The sequence below is a fragment of the Homo sapiens genome, chromosome 8 (genome assembly GCF_000001405.40).
Source record: "Homo sapiens chromosome 8, GRCh38.p14 Primary Assembly".
Taxonomy (NCBI): domain Eukaryota; kingdom Metazoa; phylum Chordata; class Mammalia; order Primates; family Hominidae; genus Homo; species Homo sapiens.
Genome location: NC_000008.11, coordinates 143475588 through 143491056, shown reverse-complemented (window position 1 = coordinate 143491056; position 15469 = coordinate 143475588). Strand labels below are relative to the sequence as shown.

The following is a 15469-nucleotide window of genomic DNA, read 5'->3' as shown; positions in this document are numbered from 1 at the left end:
TGAAAAACCACCCCTGACAGGAAGAAATAAAATGTCCTTGTCACCCGGCGCTACCTGGGTGCCGCCGTTTTAAATACCACTTTACCTTGGTTTTAGAGGTGGTCGTAAAGTATCATTTACATAGTCAATATTTATTTGTTTATTTATTTTGAGACGGAGTCTTGCTTTGTCACCTAGGCTGGAGTGCAATCTCAGCTCACTGCAGGCTCTGCCTCTTGGGCTCAAGCAATTCTCCCACTTCAGCCTCCGGAGTAGCTGGGATTACAGGCACCTACCACCACTCATGGCTAATTTTTGTATTTTTAGTAGAGACAGGGTTTCACCATGTTGGCCAGGCTGGTTTCAAACTCCTGACCTCAAGTGATCCGCCTGCCTTGGCCTCCCAAAGTGCTGGGATTACAGGCATGAGCCACTGCACCCGGCCATCAGTATCTTATTTAACTTCTCGAATATATCAATCCTCCAGCCAGATCTCACCCCAAAACATGATTAACCTCTCAAGGCTGGGCTGAGTATCTGGCAGATGGACAAGGGTGGCACATCTGCCTACCTTGTCCCAGGGCCCCACTGGGGAGGAGGGTGACAGCAGGTTCTCTGGGCTGGGCCCGGGTGGTCTCTGGGCTGGGCCTGGGTGGTCACTGCAGTTGGCATGTGGACAGTGCCTGACAGAGGACTGAGGCCCCCACAGGGGACAGGAGTGTTCAGGAGAGCTGGGCCTGTTGGGGGTGGGAGTCCTTAGCCTGGCTGCCCCCAACCCTGGCCTCCCTACCTCCTTTCTATTGTATTGCTATGTGGGCCCTCAGAGATGGGACCGTGGGTGAGACTCCTGCAGGGTCCAGGCCCCGGGGGGCCTCCCAGCTGCTGAGCACTGTGCAGCCCCACCCACCTGCTGGGGAGGCTCCCACCTTCCTCATGGCCCCCTTCACCCCCGCCGCCCCTGCCCCATCCCCAGTACCTGCCAGGGCCCTGTGTGTCAGGTGCTTGCTGGGCGTGGTTTAGGAACCACGGGTGTCTAAGGGTGTTTCCCTGGAACCCTGTGGCCTGGAGTGTGGGTGTGGGCTGCAGTTCCAGAGACCCGTGGCTCAGGGACAGGCCCAGGGACCGGCCCAGGGACCACAGTGGGTAGGATGCACCCACCACTTTCCTGACTTTCCTGCAAGTCAGCAAGGGTCCCGCTGCCCCGTCCACTCCCCAGAGTCAGGCGCGGTTTAATTTGCGGTTGGACGTCTGCTAAGATTGCGTCCACTTCCCAAGTCAGCACTTAATTGGCAAGGCGCTTGATTTAACAGCGTGGGAGCCTCCACCGGAAAAATGGCTTGAATAAATCACCGCCTGACGCCAGAAAATAGATATAATCTCAGCATTAACTACATTAATAGTAGCAGGAGCCGAATTAAGAAAGCCATAAAGCATAGGCGGGCGGGCATAAATTATGGCCCAGCTCAGTACCCTCAGTGCTCTGGCTTGCCTGGGGCGGTCCTGGGGCGGGACAGGGGCAAGGCGCCCCCTTGCCTGCGGAGGCTGCTTCCAGCCAGCTCCTCCCCTGGCCCCTCTCCCCTGGCCAGGGCGGTGGGCGGGGCCAGGCGGTGGTGGGCGGGGCTCCGTGGCCCAGCCGCGGTGGGAGGGCGCATCCCCCCAAAGGTTGGCTGAGGGGCCCCAGCTCCCTCCTTTCCATTGGCTGCTTGTCCTCCAGGACTCCCCCACCCCACCCTACCCAGCTTCTTGGAACCAGGCCCTGGCTGAGCCCTTCCCACCTGGGGCGTCCCCTGCCCAGTGGGTACTAGCAGTCATGGAGAGTGGCAGAGCAAGGATAGGATTCAGTTAGGGCATAGGTACCAGACCCAGCTCCAACCTTTCTCTGGTGTCTGCAGCCTGGAAGGCTCCCTGCAGGCAATGACATTTGGCCAGGTAGACACAAGCTGATCCCCACCCAGGCCCCACCTCACTCCTCTCATTGCTGGTCTTAGGCCCTTCCCAGAGAAGCGCCTTCATCTGGATGAACAGTCCTGGGGGTCAGCGCTGCCACTGGCTTGGGGGACAGAGGGGGCATGACTGCTGGCCCTTCCGGGCCTCGTCAGCGTCAGCAGCCACGGGCAGAAACATGGACAGCGGATCTGAGGAGGGTGCCATCCAGGCTTAACTTTAATTCTTGGTCAAGTTCAACATGGTTTGTGTTCCCTATTCGCTTGTCTCCAGCTGGCTTGTTTCTTATGGATTCATGGAACTCCAAGTGTTCAGGGGGAGTCGCCTTTTTGTCATTTTCCTCGCTTTGAATTTCGTGAGGATGTTTGCAGAAGTTTTTACTTTTCTGTGCACTTAAATCTGCCAGTCTCTTGAGATTTCATGTATTGATGTGCTGAGAACAGCCTTTCCTACCTAAGATGGCATGAGTTCTGGAAGCTTCCCTCTGGCTCTTCCCACTCATGTCTACCCCATGAGCACCTGCTTTTCTGCTCTCTGCCTACCTTGATTGGCTTTGCCTGTTCCTGAACTTCGTGGTGATGGGGCCGTGTAGCGGGTGCTGTTCTGTGTCTGAGCTTCGTGGTGATGGGGCCGTGTAGCGGGTGCTGTTCTGTGTCTGAGCTTCGTGGTGATGGGGTCGTGGAGCGGGTGCTGTTCTGTGTGTGAGCTTCGTGGTGATGGGGCCGTGTAGCGGGTGCTGTTCTGTGTGTGAGCTTCGTGGTGATGGGGCCGTGTAGCGGGTGCTGTTCTGTGTGTGAGCTTCGTGGTGATGGGGCCGTGTAGCGGGTGCTGTTCTGTGTCTGAGCTTCGTGGTGATGGGGCCGTGTAGCGGGTGCTGTTCTGTGTCTGAGCTTCGTGGTGATGGGGCTGTGTAGCGGGTGCTGTTCTGTGTGTGAGCTTCGTGGTGATGGGGTCGTGGAGCGGGTGCTGTTCTGTGTGTGAGCTTCGTGGTGATGGGGTCGTGGAGCGGGTGCTGTTCTGTGTGTGAGCTTCGTGGTGATGGGGCCGTGTAGCGGGTGCTGTTCTGTGTGTGAGCTTCGTGGTGATGGGGCCGTGTAGCGGGTGCTGTTCTGTGTCTGAGCTTCGTGGTGATGGGGCCGTGTAGCGGGTGCTGTTCTGTGTCTGAGCTTCGTGGTGATGGGGCTGTGTAGCGGGTGCTGTTCTGTGTGTGAGCTTCGTGGTGATGGGGTCGTGGAGCGGGTGCTGTTCTGTGTGTGAGCTTCGTGGTGATGGGGCCGTGGAGCGGGTGCTGTTCTGTGTCTGAGCTTCGTGGTGATGGGGCCGTGTAGCGGGTGCTGTTCTGTGTCTGAGCTTCGTGGTGATGGGGCCGTGTAGCGGGTGCTGTTCTGTGTCTGAGCTTCGTGGTGATGGGGCAGTGTAGCGGGTGCTGTTCTGTGTGTGAGCTTCGTGGTGATGGGGTCGTGTAGCGGGTGCTGTTCTGTGTGTGAGCTTCGTGGTGGTGGGGTCGTGTAGCGGGTGCTGTTCTGTGTCTGAGCTTCGTGGTGGTGGGGCCGTGTAGCGGGTGCTGTTCTGTGTGTGAGCTTCGTGGTGATGGGGCCGTGTAGCGGGTGCTGTTCTGTGTGTGAGCTTCGTGGTGATGGGGCCGTGTAGCGGGTGCTGTTCTGTGTCTGAGCTTCGTGGTGGTGGGGCCGTGTAGCGGGTGCTGTTCTGTGTGTGAGCTTCGTGGTGGTGGGGCCGTGTAGCGGGTGCTGTTCTGTGTGTGAGCTTCGTGGTGATGGGGCCGTGTAGCGGGTGCTGTTCTGTGTGTGAGCTTCGTGGTGATGGGGCCGTGTAGCGGGTGCTGTTGTGTGTCTGAGCTTCGTGGTGGTGGGGCCGTGTAGCGGGTGCTGTTCTGTGTGTGAGCTTCGTGGTGGTGGGGCCGTGTAGCGGGTGCTGTTCTGTGTGTGAGCTTCGTGGTGGTGGGGCCGTGTAGCGGGTGCTGTTCTGTGTCTGAGCTTCGTGGTGGTGGGGCCGTGTAGCGGGTGCTGTTCTGTGTCTGAGCTTCGTGGTGGTGGGGCCGTGTAGCGGGTGCTGTTCTGTGTCTGAGCTTCGTGGTGGTGGGGTCGTGTAGCGGGTGCTGTTCTGTGTGTGAGCTTCGTGGTGATGGGGCCGTGTAGCGGGTGCTGTTCTGTGTCTGAGCTTCGTGGTGGTGGGGCCGTGTAGCGGGTGCTGTTCTGTGTCTGAGCTTCGTGGTGGTGGGGCCGTGTAGCGGGTGCTGTTCTGTGTCTGAGCTTCGTGGTGGTGGGGCCGTGTAGCGGGTGCTGTTCTGTGTCTGAGCTTCGTGGTGATGGGGTCGTGTAGCGGGTGCTGTTCTGTGTGTGAGCTTCGTGGTGATGGGGTCGTGTAGCGGGTGCTGTTTTGTGTGTGAGCTTCGTGGTGGTGGGGTTGTGGAGCAGGTGCTGTTTTGTGTGTGAGCTTCTTGGTGGTGGGGTCATGTAGCGGGTGCCATTCTGTGTCTGACTTCTTTTGTTCATCACTTTTCATGGACTGAATTGTGTCCCCCACCAAGTTCATAGATGGAAACCCTAACCCCCAATGTGACTACGTTTGGGGATGGGGTCTTCAAACAGGTAATTGAGGTTAAATGGGATTATACGTGTTTGGCCCTGATCCACTAGGACTAATGTCCTTACAAGAATAAAAAGTGCCACCAGGGGCACATGCCCAGAGGAAAAGCCACGGGAGGACAGTACAAGCCAGGAAGGGAGACCTCACCAGAAACCAGCCTTGCCAGAGCCTCGGTGCGGCCCCAGCCTTGTGAGAAAGTGTGTTTCTGTTGTCGTAGCCGCCCACTGCAGAGCATTCCATGGCAGCAGCCAGGCAGCCGTAGGCGCCCACGTTTCTCACTCCGCTACATTGCCGCGCCTGGCGGGAACTCATTCTTTTTCCCTGCCGTGTGGTGTTCTGTGATATGGATACGCCATGTGTGTCCATCTTGCAGTTGATGGGTGGGTATCTGGAGTCTCTCCCATCCTTGCCAGTTATGAAGCTGCTGTCTTGGGTGTGTCTCTGGGTGCTGGTAGCCCTCGTTTGTGTGGAGTTGCTGCCTCAGAGGGTGATGGACACTGAGCTTTGGAAGCTGTCCCAGGTAGCTGTCCCAGCCTGCCAGCAGCAGCATGTGAGCATTGTGGCTGGCCCGTGGCCTTGGCCAGGATTCTCAGGCCCGTGTCTCCTGTTCTTGCCATGCTGGGGGGTGTGGGGCCTCACGCCCATCCCGCTGGCTGGCATTGCTGGGCATCTTTTTCTTCACTCAGGTCTCCTGGTGGTGCCCTTCTTTACTGTAAAGGGCCTCTTTGGGTGTTGGCCTGTTTTTGTGTGATTTGCCTTTTGGCTGATTTGTGGGAGTTTGTTTTTGTTGTGGATGTTTTCCGCCCCACACGTCTGCTTACAGCGAGGGACCTGCTCTTCCACGGCATCTGGTTTTTTAGCCTTTTATGAGTAGTGCTCTTTGTGTCCTGTTTAAGAAATATTTGTCTATCCCACATTCATGTTTTCTTCTAGAAGCTTGGCTATTTTAGCTTTTATATTTTAAGCCTGAGGCTTCTTGAATTAATTTTTACCTGTGGTCTGAGGTAGGGGCCAGAGTCCTTTTGTCTCCCCATGGAGACACATGTATTGAAATGAGATCCTGACCCACTCAGGTGCAGGGGCGCCTGCGTCACTCGGGTGAGCAGATGTATGGGCTGTTCCCAGACTCTCCATCCTCACTGTTGACCCACTTGTCTGTGCCCTTCGTTATTCCTGAATGCTTACTCTTCCAGACCACCTTAGAAACACTGGACCGGGTTCTCGGCCTCACCAAGGAACCAGCCTCCAAATCATAGATTTGCATTTTCTTCTTCTTAGGATTTCAGCCACACACACAACAAACACTTCAGATCCCTGGCCCCGCCTGCCTCCCTCCTGTTCTCAGCACCAGGGGGACTCATGCTCCATAACTTCCACATGTTGGCCCGGCGCCCCTGCTGTAGAATTTTTCCTCAGTTATTTGAGAGTGTTTCTGGCTTCTCTTCTTTGTATGTTCCAACTGGTGTTTGCCACTGTCTTGCAGGGCTTTGGTTTTCACACATCTTTGCTTCATAATCAGTTCTGGTTACCCCTCTGAAGTGAGTGGGTTTTTATTGTGGTTTTCCCGTGGTTTTTGCAGATACCACTGTCCTTGCAAGGGCCGCATGAAGTTTGCTGAGGTCACCACGCCTTTCCAGGGAGCTGAGCCGGATTTGCTGTGTGGTCTTCGGAGGGGCTGTCCCAGGGCCTGGGAGTGGGGGGATGTCTGCTGTGAGTCTCTTTAGACAGCAGTGACCTGAGGGGTCCTTGAGGGCCTAGGCAGGATTCCTGGCCAGCCTGCCCCTCAGTAGCTGGCACAGACAGAGTGGGTCCTGGGCCGATGACCCAGCCCAAAGGGTGGCACAGGTGCAGAGGGTCGCGGGCCCGCCAAGGACAGCTGCACCTGGCCGCCTGGCACCTCTGCCGGACGAGCTGAACTCGGCACTCCGGGGCCATGAAGTCCCACTAATACTTGTTTTTTTGCAGCTGACATACAAAACACCAATAGCTTCAGCTGAAATGGATTTTTAAAAGTGTCATTTTATGGAGAATTTTACTTTCCATCTTGTTGTTTATTAGGCTCTTAAAGGGAAAGCTTGTAATGCATCCATTGATCGAAATACCAATTGAATAGATGTGAGCACATAAAATACATAAAATAGTCCCAGCCCCTCATAATGGAGCACGACGTTTGTAACGGAGGCAGTGTCATTAGTATTGCCCCCTGCCACCCAGCCAGGCTGCAGAGGCGCCTCCGAATCCTTCTTATTCATTACTGGGGTGAGACGGGGCAGGGATGGCCCTCGGAAGGACCAGTGCCCAGTGAGGAAGTCCTCAGATGTCACAACAGAGCCTCCACCCCACGAGTCAGCCCAGGGGCCGGGGGAGCCAGCCGTGCTCAGCCTCAGCTGGACCAGTCGCACTCAAGGCTGTCCCTGTCCTCAGGGGCCCCCAAACAAGGCTGCTGTCCCTAAGGCTGCATGGCTCTTTCCCCTCATGGCGCCCCTGGCCGCTGGTGCAGGGCTCTCAGCTCCCACCCAGGCCTGTAACCCTGCCTGCCTGCTGAAGGTGTATCCTGGAAAGCCAAGCGGCTGGACGGTCTCTGCAGGCCCCCATACTGGGAGGTAGATGCTGTGGGGGTGACAGCGGGACTAGAGAGCCCATCTGGCCATGGTGCCGGAGCCCCTGCTGAACAGCAGCTACTGCCCCAGGTACCTGGAGGCCCCTTGGAGCTGGTGAGGGCCCCACGGTCTGGGTATAGGGGTTTGGAGGATAGGGGGCCAGACTTGTGAGGAGTAAGTTAGAAGAGGGTTCTTTCTGTGAGATGAGGTGGCCATAGCCATCGTGAGGCCTGCGTGGCCACCACGTAGTCAGATTTCAGCCCTGGCAGCCACAGGCCCTTGAGCATTTAGCCCTGCCCCTGAGATCGTGGGGGCAGGGTCCAGGAGCCGGGAGCCCGCCTAGCACCCCCACTGCACGCCTCTGCTCTGTCTGGCCTGAGCGCCCCTCCCTGCCGGCCCAGCTTGGGCCCCTCCCATGAGGGACTCTGTCTTCCTCCTCCGGAACTCAGGACATTCTGTGAGTGTCTGTCCAGTAGAACCACCTCCCCTGCATTGCCCCAGCCTCACGGGCTGGGCCTCTCCAGCCAAGGGCCCCATGTAGCCTGGCCAACCCATTCGGGGGCCGCAGTGGCTCAGCACCAGGAGAAACCGGGAGGGAGGCTTCCAGCCAGCCCCACACGCGCACACGCATGGACACACATGCATGCTCGCCCTCCCGAGCCAGCACGGTGATGGGGGTGTCAGCGTTTCCAGTGGAAAGCCCCACTTAAGCAGTTTAGTGCCTGTCATGGCGCAGCTCTGCCTGACCTACTTGGGGATTCGCTGCGGCGCCGCCTCCCCCCGGCCGCTCCTCTTCTGCTGACTTCGCACTCCCCGCTCGGGCTCCAAGCTTCGAAAAATTGTGCTCCATTTCCTGAAAATGCTTCTCCGGTTGTTTTCTCTGTGTCTCAGCTGGACTGCCTGTTTACTGCACGTTGCCACTGGCCTGGGCGGCCTGGCCAGGGGCTGCTGGGTCCCCGGCCCACACACAGACACAACCCCGGCCTAGAAGGCCCTGAGGTCGTGTCCCCGTGGCCCGGTACCTGCTCCTGTGGTCCTGCCTCTTCTGGCTGCTAGGGCCGGGCCAAGACCTCGCTCAGCCCTTGGCCTCTCCTGCTGTCACCATACTTATGCCCCCGAGGGTCTTTCCACGTCTGCATATTGCACGTCCCTGTGTCACGTCCGTAGCAGCCTTGCCATCGTCCTGGGGAGACAGGGACAGGCTCGCCCTTCTCGGAGCTCTCAGGGCATGTGTTCTGACCATGCCTCCCTCCTTGAGCCCCGCTGCTCCCTTTGTTCTCAGAGAGCCCATCTTGCCCCAGCCCGCATTCCCAGCGCCTGGCCCTTGCTGCCTGAGCCCACTCCTTGTATCTGCTGACCAAGCCCTGGCAGCCACCTCTCTGCCACAGGTCTCCTTCCTGAGTGTCTGTAACTGACCAGGGCCTCCTGACCCTTCCCCACCCCACACTCCTCCCTTAGGACCTCTTAAGGTCCTGGGAGCCCCAGGGTGGCACACACTTGGGTGTGTTCTCGCAACACACATTTACAGAGCCCCCTGCGTGCCCGGCACATCCGCAGGGCCAGGGGTGCAGCAGTGGTCTTTGCAGATACGGCCCCTGTGCTCATTTTCCCCAGTGGTAAGTAGGGCCGGCCTCCCCAGTGCTGTGACATCTGCACTTGGCCTCAGGCCTGCCCTGGGATCTGGACAGAGGGACAGCACGTGCAAAGACCTGGCGCCAGGAGGGAGCACAGTGCTTTCCAGAAACCAGAACTTCCCAGGAGAACTGGAGTTCTAGGCTGGAGAGAGGCTGCATGGGGGCTGTGGCCAGCAGGACCTGAGTGCCTGGCCCTGCAGGGCTTTCTAACCTGGTCATCTTGAGAACGAGGGGACCCACTGCAGGGTCTTGGCAGGGACTTGATCAAATGTGCAGCTTTCAAACCAACTGGCAGGGTGGGGTGGGTGCAGCCCCCTTTCAGCTGTGAACCAGGGCGGAGACCCAGCTGGCTCAGTGCCGGCCTGGGGCTCTGCGTGGCATGTTCAGGGCCTGGGCATTGCCTCGGGGCAGGGCTTCTGCCAGTGGTGAGGCTGAGGGCCCTGGGCAGGGGGTCCGAGTGGAGGCTGATGAGGCCCCTCATGGGGAGAACTGCTGACCGACACTGGCTGCGGGGCCTGGCTGTGGGAGCAGGAGGGCCAGCTAGTGCTGGAGTGTGTTTAAAAGACAAGACTGGAGCTGGATTGGCAGCAGCCGGAGGTGCAGAGCGACAACACGAGGGTCCTGGAAGGTCCCCATCGTCCCTGTCTGCCTTCAGTTTCCCTCCCAGGGTCTGATGTCCCCTCGCCGGCTCCACCGTGTGGCGGCGCTTGGCAGGAAGAAATCTTCAAATCCCAGCCCTCCCTGCTGTGGAGCCCCTGGCGGGTCTGGAGGGTCTGGGAGCAGCTCTCCCCTCTGCTGGCCTCGCCTCTCCCGCCCCTGGTCACACAGCGACCTCTCTGTTCCCAGGTGTTCTCCTCAAGCACAGACACAACCTCACGGAGTTCTCAGGGGCTCACGTGGGGTGGGATGTCACCGAGGCTGGCATGGGAACTTCGGTGGCGGGGAGGGAAGGATGCTGAGGGGCTGCTATGGGGAAGGAGCCCCTGGTTCCCATCAGCAGCTCTCCTCCAGATGAGGGTCTCTGGCCCCACTGTGGTCTGTGTTGGCCTTTGTGTAGCCGCTGGTCGCACCACTGGGCCTGGGAGCTGGGTTGGGAGGTGCTCCGGAGAGGCCCAGCCTTCCCAGGGCTGCCTGCAATCTGGCCTAGGCCTCGAACCCCTGGCCACATGACCCAAGGCCTTGGAAGACCCTGTTGAACAAGCCACAGAGCCTCAGGGAGGGTGTCCTGGGCAGCATGTGTCTGAAGGTGCTGTGGGACTGGGCAATCGGAAGATACAGCTTTTGGGCTTAAAAGCTGCCTGTCTGTGGCCTGGACCCTCGGGTCCCACCAGTGTGTGTCCCGCCGGGGCATCCTGGGTGCTGGGCTGCTTCCCGGGTCTCTAGGGTGGAGGAGGCCTCCCCCAGTCCCCTTACCACCTCTGCCTGAGTCAAGAGACCGGGCCCCTTCCCCAGCCTTCCTGCCATGCCAGTGTGCCAGTCACGCTGACTACCAGGCCCAGCATTCTCTGATTGGTCTCAGAGCTGGGTCGCATGGCACGGAGACACCGCAGGCAGTGCCCATGGCAGGGAGCAGGACCTGAAAGGGCCCGGGTGCTCAGAGGGCTGGACTCACCCGAGGAGCCGCATTGGTTTGTCAGATGTGTTTCTGCTGAGCTGGGGCTTCTGCTGCTGGGAGCGCAAGTGCTGAGGCTGTCACCCTGGGGGCAGGCAGTGCACTGGGCCTGCTTGCTGTGCATGCACTGCCCTGACTGCGAGGCCACTGATCTGGGCCACGTGTATGTGTGCATCTGTGCCCAGGATCAATGACGTGGCCTGGGGTGAGGCCCCTCTCAGCCTGCACGGCCCACATGACATGGCGCGGGGGCTGCTCTGACCTGCCACGGGCAGTGCCCTCGGAGTGGGTAGAGTGTGGGTGTCCAGGGTTGGTCCTCAGAGTCCTTGCATGGGCCACTTGGCAGCAGTGGCCCAGGCCAGGGCTTGCAGGCCCGGGAGCCTGGCAGCTGGCAGGCTGTGCGTGGGCATGCCTTGTGGATGCCGGCAGGGGATGCACCAGGTTTGCCCCTGGGCTTTCAGGAAAACCAAGACCTCAGAGTGAGCCTCTCTCCCATCTTGCCCAGGCCCCCAGCACCACTGAAGTCCTGGGGACAGGTGACAGGAGTCCCTGAGGGTCGAGAGCCAGAGGTCCGCCCGGCCCCCACTGTTGCTACCTGTGCCTAGCGAGGCTGGCAGCACTCAGCAGGTCCGAGGGGCCCAGGCTGAGGCAGGACAGGGGCTTTCAGAGACAGGAGGGCCTGGGCTCAGCCCTCTGGGCACCTGTGGTGCCCCTCGCCAGCCCGGGCAGCCTCTGGCCTGCAAGTTTCCAGCTACTCCTAAGGCAGTACTGCACAGACAGCTTCTTCATACACCTGCTTTTGTAGTGTGTGTGTCTTTCTCCCCATTACTGCTGCTTTTCATTTAAAATGTTATCTCCCCCTCCTGGCCTTTGTCCCCCCCCAGGGAGGAGAGGGGAGGCCCAGCCTCGCCCTGGTGTAGTCAAGGTTATGGTGATAAATCCTGGGGCATTGTCACTTCTGTTCGGAGTAAATTGGCTGGCTGCTTTTGGGCTGAAGGAAAGATAATTTGCTGTAGTATTTCAAATGGATTAGAAATGGATTTGAAGGGAAAGTTCATGCCTCCCATTACAAAGGCGAGAAAGAAGACTATCTTAAGGCACTGTTCCCTCCCTGGCCTTCATTATCCACGCTTAATACCTTTCCTATTTTCCAGCGTTAATGAAATTTCCTGGCAGCGTGGGCCTGCCGGACGGATGGGAGAGGCCTTTAGATCTGCAGCTCCCGTTGCGGAAAAGGAATTACAGAGCCTTCCGTGAGGGCAGACGCGCGCTCCGGGTCCTTGGCCCTGCTATTATCTCATTAATTTCATCCCCCTTCTCAATGCAGTTCGTTTCCAAAGGCCATCCTCTCCATTAGGGTCACAATTTACTGGAGTGCTGTGACACCCACGGCCGTGAAAAGCTACAAGGCCCTCGCCCCATGCCCTCCCAGCACCCTCCTGCTGTAGGTTCCAAAGCCAGCCAGGCAGCCAGGGCGAGGGCAGGGGTGAGGGCAACCCTAGACAGCTCTCCGTCACCCCCGCCAACCTGCACAGGCCCGACGTTCTGCCACAGCATCTTCCCAGGATGCAGCTTCTCGGAATGAGGCTCTTGGGCTAGGTGTGCTGAGCACCAGGAAGCGCCCTGCCCCATTCCCGGGAGGCCCTGGGCTCCCAGGCTATGGTGGGCAGTGGGGGGCTGGGAACATTCCCAAGCATGAAGAGCGGGCGCAGATCCCGGGACGGCTCAGCAGGGGCTGCCACATCTCCATTCCGCCCAGATCCTCTAATGTCCTCTGGGTGTTCTCACACTCCAGTAAGGTGTTTTTTTTAGGAGGGAAGAGAAGGGGACAAGCTAATTGTTCATGTTCATCCATGAGAATGAGCAGGGGCGGCTGGGCGCAGTGGCTCATGCCTGTAATCCCGGCACTTTGGGAGGCCAAGGCCGTCAGATCACCTGAGGTCAGGAGTTCGAGACCAGCTTGGCCAATGGGGTGAAACACCATCTCTACCAAAAATACAAAAATTAGCCGGGCGTGTTGGCACATGCCTGTAATCCCAGCTACTCTGGAGGCTGAGGCAGGAGAACCTCTTGAACCCGGGAGGCGGAGGTTGCAGTGAGCCGAGATCGCACCATTGCACTCTAGCCTGGGTCACAAGAGCAAAACTCCATCTCAAAAAAACAAAAAAATAAGAAGGAGCGGGGGCATGGCTGCTGTAGTGCCCAGCCAGGCCGAGGTCCTGAAACAGAGCTGAGGGGCGGCCCTGGTGGGTGGGGCGGTCCTGGAAGCTTCCAGTGCCTGCTGACCCCCAGAGGCCCTGATGCCTCTGCCCCACGGGCCCTTCCCTGGGCCTGGCCAGCTGTGGCTGCCCCTGGGGGAGGGGAGCAAGTGCTGCAGCCCGGGCCTCGCCCTCCATCCGGGTGCCTTTGGAGAGCCACACAGTGAGTGGGTGGTGGCCTGTCCCCATGTGAGCCTCAGTCAGGGGGACACTCCTGCAGGTGAGTCCTTGCACACCTGGGTTCTGGGCCTCCCTCCCAACCATCTCCTCAGGGAGTCCTGGCTGGACCCAGGTGGAGAGCTGGGTTGGCTCTGTTGCCTGCTCGTCCTTCCTGCTTTGTGGCGGCCAGGGTTGAACCCAGCCTGTGCCGTGGGCGGGGTCAGGCATGCAGGATTGGGTGCTTCCCCCGAGAGTGCAGACTTACCATCTACTCACTGGAGCCTGTGGGGAGGCAGGGAGCTGGGGGCTCCCGGGAGCAAGTCCAGGCTGGCCCTGAGCAGCCTTTCCGGGGCGAGGACCACAGTTAGCTTTGGCCCCAGTTGTATGATGGCCAGAGGCTCTGTGAGTGGCTGGTGCTGCGGTGGGGGGGTGCACCCTGGCCACCAGCCCCCTCACCCTCCCAATGGTGAGACCCCTGAGGCCTGTGAGTACTGTGGGGCTGGTGCAGGGCCCTGGGCTCAGCCTGACTGGGATTTGGGGTCAAGCTGAGTGTCCCCCAGGTAGTGGCCGTAGCTCCTGTGGAAGGTCAGAACCTGCCTCTGAGCCCCCCAGGCTGATGGGGTTCTCCAACTGAGAGGCTGGTGCAGGAGGTCCTGCCTGGCCTGCCTCCCTCCAGGCCTGGTGCCAGGATAAGCTGAAGGTACAGGCCATGCACCTGCTGGGCCTGCAGGCACCTGGAGGCCGGGGCTGCACTGGGACCCCAGGGTCTGATGAGAGCCTGGAGGTCTGAGTCTGGCTGGCAGGATGCCTACCCTCCACCCCTCTGGCCCAGACAGTGCCCGGCTGGGGGTTGGGGAGCAGCTGGAGTGTGCAGGGCGCAGACAGGATAGGTGGGAGGTGGGGGCCAGCAGACCACTCAGCACTGCCAGGCCCCTTGGTGGGCTCTTTCCCGCCAAGATTGGTGTTTGTGAACTTGAATTTTAATTAAAGGAAACTGGGTTAAGTGCTCCAGCCGCCGTGCTTGTACTTACACTGCAGCTCCCATCCCCGGCACCGGGCTCTCTCTGCTCCCATTCTCTCTCTAATGGGCCCTTGGAGGCCCCCGGCTGCTGAGAATTACCCCAGCTTGCAGGCAGAGGGACCAAGGCCCGGAGGGGTTGCAGGGCTGAGTGGTGGGGATGGCGGTGGAACCCGACAGAAGGGCTGCTCCATCCCCAGTACCACCAGGTCTGTTGGCTCCTCGTGGGTGGCTTTGATGGATATGCTGCTGTCCCCCTGTACCTGCCCCATCCAGCCAGACAAGCGAGCCCCACCTTCATGCATGCTGCGGGCCTGGGTCTAGGGGGCACCCCACCCTGGCCCAGACCAGCTGGAAAAGGGTCTCCTGCGGCTGTGGATGGGTTGGGGGGCTCAGGTACTCCACAGCAGAGAGGGCTGTGTAGCTGCAGGGCCATGGGGACCAGTGTGGGATGGGGAGCGTAGAGCAGGGGCACAGCCCTGTGCCAGGCCTGAGCTGCCCGTCCTCGCCTCCCACTTGACTGGTCCCTTTGCTGCCTGCGCACCCATGGCTGCCCAAAAATGTCTTGCCCAGATTTGCTGGGGGTGTGGTATCCACCTCAGGGGTCATGGCAGCTTGAGCAGAGCGTGAGCTCATGTGGAATCAAGCTCAATTTGCCAGGCCCTGAGCCCCCCACCTTGGGGGCTGCTTGCCCGAGGGTCCGCAGGGCTGTGGGTGTGGCTGGCAGCTGCAGGGAGGTGCCTCTGGAGTGCAGCTCAGGCCCCTCTTGTCTTACTCTGCCCCTTGGCTTCCTGGAGGCTGTGGAGTATTTGGCAGGAGTGGGGGCTGCCAGGGCTCAGGGTCTGTCGGCCTAGGTCTCTTCCTCTAGCCAGGGTCATCAGCTCAGCTAACTCCAGGGGCTGTCGCGGCCTCTTCAGCCCTTGGACTTGAGGCAACATCAGCATTTCCCTCAAACAGCCTGGCCCGGGGTCTGTGAGGCTGTCCCCATGCCCTCTCAGTGCAGGGCTCTCTGAGCTGTGGATGAAGGGGAGGCAGGACAGGGTGGAGGAGGAGAAGAGGCAGGGTAGCCTGCTGACCCTATGGTGTCTGTGGTCCTGACGGCCAGGGTGGTATGTGCTGGGGCCGGTTGGTAGAAATAGCCCCAGCCTTGAAGCCGACTCAAGGGAGCCTCAGCCCAGGTGCCAAGGGCCAGGTGTGCTTCTCACCAACACGCAGACACCTTGCAGCCCCTCTGCCCTGCAGCCCCAGGGACCCTTACCCTGCAGCACACAGCCAGGTGGTCAGGGCCCAGGGGTGGTTATATCCACGGGGAGGTGTGCACTGGAGGACGACGCTGCCCTCTCACCGTGGCTTCTAGGGGCGCATGAGTTCCCAGCCTCGTGGGTGGGGTCGGGGGCGCCACCTCCTGGGACTCCTTGTCAGTGTTCCCTGATGACGGCCAAAATGTCCCTGAGGTGGGGGTTGGGGGCCAGAGGGGGACAGAGGTCTCTTGGCAGCTGGGCCAATGGCCCGTGGTCACCCAGCTGGAGTGTGTACCCACCGCAAGTGCTGCTCCCTGTCCCCCTTGGGAGGCCAGGCCTGGGCTCGGCCCCTGGCACTGACCATCAGAGCTGTAGTCTGTCCTGGGGCCAGGTTTGACGGGCATTTCCTGTCTCTGC

The 15469-nt window shown here is 59.8% G+C and overlaps 1 protein-coding gene across 3 annotated transcripts in view, besides 3 other annotated features; it reads left to right on the top strand.

The window, feature by feature from the left end:
- ZC3H3 (zinc finger CCCH-type containing 3) overlaps window positions 1-15469 on the top strand; it is a 103789-nt gene that overhangs the window by 50391 nt on the left and 37929 nt on the right. Inside the window, exon 5 of one of the 3 annotated variants that reach the window (XM_011516944.3) lies at window positions 6110-15448. The exons of the other annotated variants lie outside the window; for them this stretch is intronic. Within the exon in view, the coding sequence (XP_011515246.2) occupies window positions 6110-6254 (145 nt within the window). The 3' untranslated portion in view covers window positions 6255-15448. Of the gene's footprint in view, window positions 1-6109; window positions 15449-15469 lie in introns of those variants that run through there. 3 annotated transcript variants of the gene reach the window in all.
- Window positions 2203-2739: an enhancer, noted in NCBI's record as "H3K27ac-H3K4me1 hESC enhancer chr8:144570488-144571024 (GRCh37/hg19 assembly coordinates)". NCBI's record gives its function as "activates a minimal SCP1, AML or CMV promoter by ChIP-STARR-seq in primed H9 embryonic stem cells {active_cell/tissue: H9 hESC(primed)}" and the evidence as "EXISTENCE:reporter gene assay evidence [ECO:0000049][PMID:30033119]".
- Window positions 2740-3277: an enhancer, noted in NCBI's record as "H3K27ac-H3K4me1 hESC enhancer chr8:144569950-144570487 (GRCh37/hg19 assembly coordinates)". NCBI's record gives its function as "activates a minimal SCP1, AML or CMV promoter by ChIP-STARR-seq in primed H9 embryonic stem cells {active_cell/tissue: H9 hESC(primed)}" and the evidence as "EXISTENCE:reporter gene assay evidence [ECO:0000049][PMID:30033119]".
- Window positions 11474-11974: an enhancer, noted in NCBI's record as "H3K4me1 hESC enhancer chr8:144561253-144561753 (GRCh37/hg19 assembly coordinates)". NCBI's record gives its function as "activates a minimal SCP1, AML or CMV promoter by ChIP-STARR-seq in primed H9 embryonic stem cells {active_cell/tissue: H9 hESC(primed)}" and the evidence as "EXISTENCE:reporter gene assay evidence [ECO:0000049][PMID:30033119]".